Raw genomic sequence first — 9,952 nt, forward strand, 5'->3', positions numbered from 1 at the left:
TCTAATCTTAAAATTTTAGACAGTAATATGAAGGGTAGCATTGTTTTCTGAGCTGCAATAACAAGTGCCAGGGAATTCATTTGGGACCAGTATCAAGCTGAGGGCCACACCTGAACCTCAGTTTTTACCAGCTCCTTCCCTTCCCTTCATGGCCTTCCATTTTTGTGTCTAGATGTGCCTTTTATTCTTCTCTTCAGGTCTACCAGTTGCTGGGCAAACCTCAGAATTTGTTAACCAAGTGTTAGAGAAGACTGCAGAAGGGAATCCCACTGGAGGCCTTGTAGGATTAAGGATACCAACATCAAAGGTGTAATCAGCCTCATTGGACCACTGGTCAGAAATGTCTGCGTTTTGTCACGTTATCCATTGTAAATTTTCATTCTGTTTTGCATGTCAGTTAGCATTATGTAAACATTTACAATTAGGTTACATTGTTTTAAGAACTAAGTAGCATAAGTGAAGCATGATCCAAAATACTTGATTATTGCATTTTCAGAGCATAAACCATGATTAAAACTGCTACTGGCATCAGAATTGAAAATCATATGTTTAAGTAAATGTTAGGTACAGATTACAAAAATCTGTTAAAGCAAAACATTTTGGAGGAGTGAAATAGTAAAATGCCAAGTATTGTGGCAGATTTATGCTCTGAACCACACAAAAAAATTGAGGAAGCATTTTTTTAAACAGTCGGTTTAAATTGTTTTTAGAATTATTGCTTTTTGTTCTAATTTTCCACAACCATTAATCTCACTTGTATATGGCACACCCAGCACTTGTGCCTGTGGGCCATATTAGATGTTCATTGTCAGAGCTCAAGATGATATATATAAATATATATATATATATATATATATACACACACACACACAAATGTCTGTGCAAGTAAGAAAAAAAAAGCATATTCTTTGTGCCTTGTATTTTGGGGAAACTCTAAAACTGGTAATATTTTGTATGATGAAAACCCTAATGAGAAAAAACAAGATATATAGATGGAAAAATTATGGGGTTTAAATGTTTTTTTGTTCCAACTCTTTTTCAGATTTTTTGAATGTATATAGGACTATGTTGAAATGTAGATATATGCCACAGAGTCTGTGTATTGTATAAAAAACAAAACAAAAAACAACAAAAAAAAGATGGCTCTAGAAAACTCATATTTCGGTACTTGACCGGAAGAAGACAAATACTTGCACATTATTGCGATTGTTTTATTTTTTGTACCAAAGACAAATGCAACTGATATGGCAAACTGCCAGTCTAAGTAAAGTTTTGCACAGCTTACATGATACTGTATGAATGTATGAAAAAAAAGGAGAAAAAAAAGAAAAAAAAAGGTCAGGGTTAGGGATCTTACTGAACTGTGAATTTTATTTCTGTTTGGGTCCAATTATCTACAGAAGGAGCATCCATACATACAAATATTATTTTGCTGTTCCTCTAGTTCGCTTCCATAGTAGATAAGTTGGTGGCCATTTAGATGTCTTTTATTTCTGCACTTATTGTAGGAAATTTTAATATATTTCATTTTAGTAAGCTATTGATAAAATAGTTTTTGACTTTGAAAATTAAAATGTTTATTTAGCTTATTGTAGTATACTTCCACCAGACAACAAAATAGATTATTTTTATTGTATTATGTATATATATATATGTAAAGAAAGAAAAAAGCTAAAAATATCTAATTCTTTAGTTGCCACTTTTCCGATTGATGTATTATTGTGCATGTAATATTTTCAAAGATCAACACAGGCTAAAACAAAAACAATTTATAGATTTTTATATTTTTGTACAGGTATTTTCAAACTAGCTTCTTCAAACTTAACATGTGACTTATTCTTCTATAGTTTCTAGAATTGAGAAACATTAACACATTTAGTTTTTAGGTGCTCTTTTTTGCTCATATAAAACAGCTTCATTAGTCAGTGTTTTAACTGTGTTCAAGCTTTACCTCTTGATGAGAAATTTCTTATGTCAAGGCAGCATTATAAACCTTCCCCCACAGATTTTTCCATCCTGTCTCTCTTACTGTTTTATTCTCAAATCTTGTGCTTTGAACTCTGAAAACTGGTGGCTTAAAAACTAAAAAAAGAAAAAAAGCATATTTAGCAAGGAAAAAAATACCAAAAATTTCAGGCATAGCTGCTGGAAAAATTATCTATTTCTCCATTACCCACTGTAGGATTTCTTTTTTAATTATACTTTGACTATAAAGTGTCAAAGTATAATTTGTTCTTTTCTTTTACTTTGTTACCCCATTTGTAAGCTATAGCATATGAAGCTATATATATAGCTTGTGAAGGTTTGATCTAGAACACCCAGTAACAAATGAACAATGTTGCTTACCTGCTTCTTTGACATCTTAAAAAAGAAATCCAAGGAGGATTGTAAGGATTGTCTTACCACCTTAGCTGAACTGTGATGCACAAGATTTTTCTATGTGTTTGGTGGAAATGTACCTGGTTTGTACATTCACGCTAAACAGATGATAAGCTCAAGTCTGATGGTTTAATAGAATGTAAGTTCATCGTTTAAAGCTTTTCCTTTTTAGGTTGGAGAAGGCAAAACACAGGCTTGCAAGTTGGAAGTATATGAAGTCTTGACAGAGTGTGTCTGGTAAATTGAAAAGTGTTTCAAACTATGGCAGTTTTGCAATCAGGTGAAAATCACCTCATGATATTCAGCTGATAAGGTTTATAAAATTGCCCCTTTCTAGCTGCTCTGTTAGGAATTCTGGTTTTTGATACTTTTTTCCTGTCTGCAAACCAGAATTTGATTTTTTGGTCTTGCATTTCAAAAAAAAAAAGACTTTGAATCTGTTTAGTAGATTCCATATCTTTGAGTTTCAGTGTTTTATATGTACTACTTAAGTTAAATAGTTAAAAGCTTTTAAATAGTTGAGCTTTTTAATGTTGACACTTTATTTTGTACCTATTTATATATGTATGTATATCTTAGAAAAGCACTTTGTTAAAAAAAAATTGCATTTTATATGATTCCTGCCATTTGCTGCTAAATCTGGGCTGGTCAGAATGCTGCAGCGATACTTGATCTATATAAAAACCTGGCAGTAAAATGTAGAGTGAAAGTTAAATCCTCTTGCTGTTTTAACTTTATCATAAAGATGACATAGGCAAGCTGTGCAGCTTTACATTTTAACCAGGGGACTCTGTGGCATTTAAAACCGTCTAGAAATGGTTGTACTTTAATGCCAGTAATAATCTGCTTCCTCTATTGTCATTAAAATATATACGTTTAGTGTATCACACAAACCAATCTTATAAGGGTAATGTAAAAACCCCAACAATTGTACATGTTCTGTTTTTGAAAATTGTGGCATGTATTTTTGGGTGAAGATCATTAGAGAAGAGTTCTCTAAAGGTTTTCTGTGTTCATACATGGTATACAGATAGCTCATAATGAAGTCCAGAATCTTACTTTTAAGTGAAGGCATTGTGAATTCACCTCAAGTAAACCCATTGTTCCAAAGCAATTATAAACTTTGACTCTAGTACTACTATGATTTAAAAAAAAAAAAAACCAACAAAAACCTTTTTTCCTAGTTTCAGATACACTGGATTCTTTATAGAGTTTGTCTCCATATGAAAGCATGCTGTCCAGTCGCTCTTGTTAAGATCTTGTCTGAGTTTTGAATTGGGTGCCACACTTTTCCAGTCAATATAATTGCTTGTTCTACTGTACCATGTATGATTCTTGTCCTTTCCTATATCCTTCATGACAGATTATGATGTGGCTTTATATTGTGCCTTACTTGTACATTTAAAACTAAACGTCTTCATTCCCTTCCACTTCCTACATCTTTAACTTTGACCTTTTTGGTAAGAGAATCAGAACTATTACAAAAGCATCATGAAGGATTTCAGATGGGTATGGTTTCAAATTCCCTCTCTTTATAGTTATTTTATATTTGTATGAAAGACCAGTTTTGGATGGTCTTTGAATATAGGGGGGAAAGATTAGCAGTAATTTCACTACATCCCTTTTCTCTGACTTTCATGCATTTCTCATACATCTTCTTTCTGATGCTTGACTTTATTTGCTTCCTAGCAATAGTCTGCATTTAAAGAAAGGTGTGTTCAATTCATCAGCTTGAAATTGACTATTTCATTTTTCCAGGATTTTTTAGGAGAAGAGTACCCATTTTGTTTTATAAAAACAGATGACAAGTCTCTTTAAAAGAAACAGAAGTACAGTACTTTTGAAATACAATGCTGTTAGTTTGGATTTCTTTTTATATATATATATAATATTCATACAATGATCTGATGTTTGCCTTCATTAATAAAGCTGTTAGTTTATTCACCAAAATGTCAAGAATGGATGTGCTTTTCTTTATTCCACACATTTAAAAAAATTTAGCTGCTAAGATTTAATGTTATAAGAAATGAATTCAAGTTGCCTTCAGCAAGAATTAACAAAAACTTATGTTCCCTTTCTTTATATAGTTTCCTAAAATTCTGTTCAAGTATTTTCTAGTTAATTATGTAACAGAATGTTAGCATCTCTCCATATCTTGAAACTTGAATTTTGAGAATGCATTGAATTATGCTTTCAGTGTTAAAGTAAAAGGTTTCAATTATCCTTCTAGTGAAGTCTGTTGTGGAATACCATTTCCCATGGAACTGAGGCCATTTCCACAACTTTGCACAGAACTGCAGTCTTGTTCTTCCCTTGGATCATGACAAATAAGTCTCACACAGTGCCGTAATACTTGTGGATTCTTTTGTAATCTTTGTAATCTTAATAAGGGCATTATGAGAAGACGACTCCATGTTTTTTTAATACTTCAAACACATTGGGATGTAACAATGAATGTCAACTGTAGGAATGGTGGTTTCGTTTTAAGGAATAAGCATGTTGGGGAAAGATGATGAAAATGTACTACTGAAAGTTATACACTTCCATAGGCAAATGGGATTATGTGTTGAAGCATAGTCCTCATGCTTAATAAACTGACTGAAATCGTAGAAATTACACCTAGGAACTGAGCTAGGCCAAATTGCCATTTTTGTTTAGAGAGTTTTGGAGGTAGTAGTGAGGGGACAGAGCCTTAAAACTACTTCCAAACAGTATTTTGGAATTGAAGACTTGGTAACTAGTGAAGAACATCAAAGTTGGGTATTTCAATGTGCCAAGTTTGGGTGAACTAGGTTCGGTTTGCCTCTTTCATAACAATGTAAACACAATGGTGTAGTTAATTAAATTCTGGGTGGATAGGAGCAGGACTGATTACTATGTCTTGCCCTTCGCCCTTTGTTTTTTTCAGAACCAAATAACAGAAATGTGTATGTGTGTACTGTATCTGCCTTTCCACCACATTTTTATGACACTGTATTCCACTGCCTGCTTTTTTACCTTCTTTCCCTAGGATTTGTCCTACAGCTTAGTATTGTGGTTGACAGCGATACTAGGGCTGACAGCACAGAAGTCACAAGAGAAGAGTGGAAGGGCAAGAATTCAAAGCATTTGTTCATACAATGTGGCAACCTCTTTTGCATAGTTGCGTAGGATCCTGTTTGTAATGCTATCATAAATATTCTGTAGTTTTTTTTTTTTCTCTCCCAACTGGAGCTATGACACTTTTTATTGGATTCAGTCTTGTCTCTTGTCTAGAAAGAACTTTATCTTGTTGACGCATGAGCTGTTTAAAAATTATCCTATTAAATGTTGGTTAATAGTTGTGCAGTTTTTCATTTCAGATGGAAAGGCAATGCAAATTTTGCCTTTGTTTTCTGTCACCTTCCAACCCCTGAGCACTTCTAGTCAGATACAGATTCATCAGTGTATGCAACATCCTTTGTAATTTAAAATAAAAAAAGATGAAAAGAAAACGTTCTGAATTGTTTGCCTCATGTTTTCGCCCTTCCTTTCTGTACTTATATCTTGCTTACCTAGGTAACCATCCGCTCCTCAAGATAACCTATTCCAAAGAAATTCCAAATCACAGAGAGTGGTGAACTGCTGGTCTGCTGCCCCTCTCGTGGTAATAATCAAAGAGCTAACATTTTTTTGACACTATAGGTTGATTTTTCAATATTTTAGTGACATTTAGCTATTATATAGAATTATTTGTTGATGTAAGCATTTGCATTCTTCACAGCTTAGAGGATATTCTTATTTCTCCTCTTTTAATCTTTGGGCAAGTGTTCTGCATGGGAAATAAAATATTTTGGGTCTCTCCTGATTTAAACATTTGTATGTGTTTGTGTGTTTAATCACTCTAAGTAAGTCTCCAAACTAAGCTGGGCGTATATATAGAGGCTTAAATCCAGAGACCTAAGTGAAGGCTTCCATCAGAGTATGTGGCTGAAAGTCAGCCAGCAAATATTTGTTGAGCACTTACTCTGCCAGGACCTGTGCTAGGTACTGGACAATAGAGAGATGAAAGAGAACTCCAGGAACTCAGAGCCAGCATGTGAACAGGATTGCAGAACAACACAGGAGCTGTTACAGATATGCAAAGGGCTCTAGGCACATTATTGTTGCTGAGGTGTTTTCATGGACACATCCAGTGGTGTATTAGAGAATTGATAGACTTGGGTTCTTAGTATCCTGGACCCTTGAAGAAACCCTCTTTGTTTCATGTGAGTGACATTAAGGCCATCAGGAAGCAAAGGGGAGGGGCATGGCCTCCCATGGACTGGTTCTGCATCAGGACTTGATCTCTAAAGACCACTGCTCACAGGATCCTCTGTCAAGATCTTGAGACTGTTAAAGGGCTGGGTGAGCCAGACCAGTATAGTCCTTAGGAAACTAAACCTGTGGATAGCATCCAGTTAGCTGGGTCATTCAGCTGGTGAGCTGTTTAGCCACAGTACAGTGGAGAATTTGAAAGAAAGAAAATGGCTGGGAAATGCTATAATATCCCAGCTAAAAGGTTCAGAGCAGGAAGAAGGTGTTAGAAAGCCCTAGGGGAGGGAGTGGCATTCCTTAAGACTCTGCTAGGTGCTTTTTTGTTACAGGAAACTCAGCTGCTACTCTCAAGCGCCCAATGAGGCTGGTGGTCATGTTCATTTTACAGGAGACAAGACTCAGATGAGGAGACTAGCCCCAGACCTACCTTATATGATTATAGAGCTCCAATTCAACTCCAGTCGGCTTGCTGCACTACAGAAATAATTTGTATTCATCTCTTTGGGATCAGGTCAAGTCACAGGCAATATTTGGAAGGATGTCTCTGTAGCGGGGGATAAAGGCCTTAGAATCTAAAAACCAAAAAGAAAGCCAAAACCTAGCAGATAAACAAAAGCTAGTCTAAGGATCAGTGGGTAAAGGTGATAGGGGAAGCAAAACAGAGTTGAGAGGAATCAGTGATTGCGTGTAATGATCACCAGACTGCACATCTGTTCCTCGAAGATGGCCTCTAGCTTAAGGTTTAGGATTGGGTCCCCTTATTGGAAGGAAGTATATTGGAGGGTAGAGAAAAAGGGAGCTTATGTTTTCTTCTTTAGCTGCAGCATAAGAGATGCAACTGGGGACTGTTGATTGCATATGAATATTCAACAAGAAGCATGATGTGAACGGGGTCCCAAGGGCACGTCTGCAGGTCTGCCAGCTGCTGGCTTTGGGGCTTCTCTGCTGTCCTAAACAGGGGGCTTCTATGTGAGTATCCAAAACACTGGAGTGACCTGAAGAAAGTAAACCTCAGTTTCTTTAAAAGGTTTTAACCTGAAAATATTACCAGGAATAAACTTAACAGAAAATGTATACAAGGCCTAGGATAAAGAAAACTTTGAAAGTACTGTGAAGGACACAGAAGGAAACTGGAATAAATTGAAAGATACACCAAGTTCTTACACAGGAGCAGTGACATAGAACTAACAGTGGTAAGTTAAATTAAAAATATAATATTGCTAAAAAATGTCATCCTAAGAAAACATACCAAGAGGGTTTAAAAAAAAAGTTTACACAGGGATAAAATAGCTGGAAGATGCTGGTAGGCAGTGGGGCTGAGGGGGCAGTGATGCAGGGGACAAGGGGAAGAGTTATTTAATCCTAGCAGATACTAAAAGTCGTTATAAAACCATAATAGTTAAAACTAATTTTGATACATGAATAGGCCAGTCAAGCAGAATAGAAGGTCTAAAAGTAGACTCAAACATATACGACAATTTAGTATGGCAAATGTGGCATCCAGAACCAGTGAGCAAAAGGTAGACTCTTCATTAAATAGTATTGGAATAACTAAGTAACCTCCGGAAAAAGTAAAATTGGGTCTATATCTCACACCATAAGCCAACATATATTTCAAAATAGATAATGATCTAAGTGTAAAAAAAAAAAAAAGCTACAAAAAACCACCCATAAAAACACTACAAGGAAATGTGGGCAATCCCTTTAAATCCCTGTAATTTGGACCACGAATCCAGGAATCATAAACGAAGATTGATAAATTCAATGTAAAACAAGATTAACAAAAACCATAAGCTAAATCAAAGTTCTATAGACTTTTTAAGGCTGTAGATGTCTTTAAAAAAAAATGAAAATAGAAAAGCTTTGAAACTCATCTCTAAGGACTAATCCTCCTAATATATAGAGTTCCTGGAAACGGATATGAAAAAAACCAACAACCCAATAGAACAATGAGCAGACAATAGAATAAATGCAAATAGCTCTGAAGCATAGGTAGAGTTTCTCAGCCTCCTTCATGATCAGAAAAGCATAAACTAAAGAAGGCATTTCTACCTAATCAGATTGGCAAAACTTCCAATGTTTGTTAACCTATCCTGTTGACAAGGCCACGGGAAACAGGCATTTATGCCATGTTGCTGGAGGGAGTATGGATTGACATAATCCCTATGAAGAGCAATTTGGTAATATGTCAGAATTTTTAAATGCATATATCCTTTGACCTAGCAACTCCATTTGCTCTGGGCAAGTCATTATTCCTCTCTGCCCCGTTTTTACCTCACAGAGTTGTTGTAAGAGTTAAGCGAGACACACATGAAGCGCTTAGTACAAAGTTCCTGGCACATAGGAAGTGCTCCCAAAATGTGGGCTAGTAGTAGAATAACAGCAGCTAACGGGCATTGAGATCTTACTATATGCCACATTAGCACACTGTGCTTGGTGCTTTTCATGTATTTTCTCATTTAATTCTCCAACCTGTGAAGTAGGCGCAATTGATTATCACCAGTTAGCTTCCGAGGAGACAGAGGCACAGGCATGCGAAGTGTGTGGTGGACAGGATTTGAGCCCAGGCAGATGCCAAGCCTGTGATACACTGCCTCTCTATTAGGTGCAGTGGGGTGATGAATACCTTACGAGAGGGTGTGTAGAGGGCTGTAGGGACACAGACAAGCACATAGCCCCGCTTACAACAGGTGGGGACCATATTGATTTTTTGGGGAAAAGATGGCTTTCAGTAGAGGCTGTGCCACTTTCTTTCTTTCTTTTTTCTTTTTTTTTTTTTTTTTTTGAGATGGAGTCTTGCTCTGTCGCCCAGGCTGGAGTAGTACAGTGGGGCGATCTCGGCTCACTGCAAGCTCCACCTCCTGGGTTCACATCATTCTCCTGCCTCAGCCTCCCAAGTAGCGGGGACTACAGGCGTCCGCCACCACGCCCGGCTAATTTTTATATTTTTAGTAGAGACGGGGTTTCACCGTGTTAGCCAGGATGATCTCGATCTCTTGACCTCGTGATCCACCCGCCTCGGCCTCCCAAAGTGCTGGGATTACAGGCATGAGCCACCGTGCCCGGCCTAGGCTTTGCCACTTTCAAGATAGGTAATCTTGCAACAGGGTTGATTGTTTTTTGTTTTAATTTACTCTAAGCCCTACTCCTGATCTGTGATAATAGTGTAGTACAATTTCAAGGGTGGTTGTGAGGATTAAGAGAGATGAACATGGTCGGGCACAGTGGCTCACGCCTGTAATCCCAGCACTTTGGGAGGCCGAGGCGGGTGGATCACGAGGTCAGTTCGAGACCAACC

General features: G+C 36.8%; 1 protein-coding gene across 6 annotated transcripts in view; it reads left to right on the plus strand.

The window, feature by feature from the left end:
* CREBRF (CREB3 regulatory factor) overlaps window positions 1–5,852 on the plus strand; it is an 82,933-nt gene extending 77,081 nt beyond the window's left edge. For all 6 annotated transcript variants that reach the window (XM_005265821.4, NM_153607.3, XM_011534442.2 and 3 more), the window contains one exon: window positions 198–5,852. In XM_005265821.4, coding sequence (XP_005265878.1) covers window positions 198–313 — 116 coding nt within the window. In that variant the 3' untranslated portion in view covers window positions 314–5,852. The remainder of the gene's footprint in view (window positions 1–197) is intronic.
* Window positions 5,853–9,952: the final 4,100 nt, after the last annotated feature.

The sequence above is a fragment of the Homo sapiens genome, chromosome 5, assembly GCF_000001405.40.
Source record: "Homo sapiens chromosome 5, GRCh38.p14 Primary Assembly".
NCBI classification, from domain to species: Eukaryota; Metazoa; Chordata; class Mammalia; order Primates; family Hominidae; genus Homo; species Homo sapiens.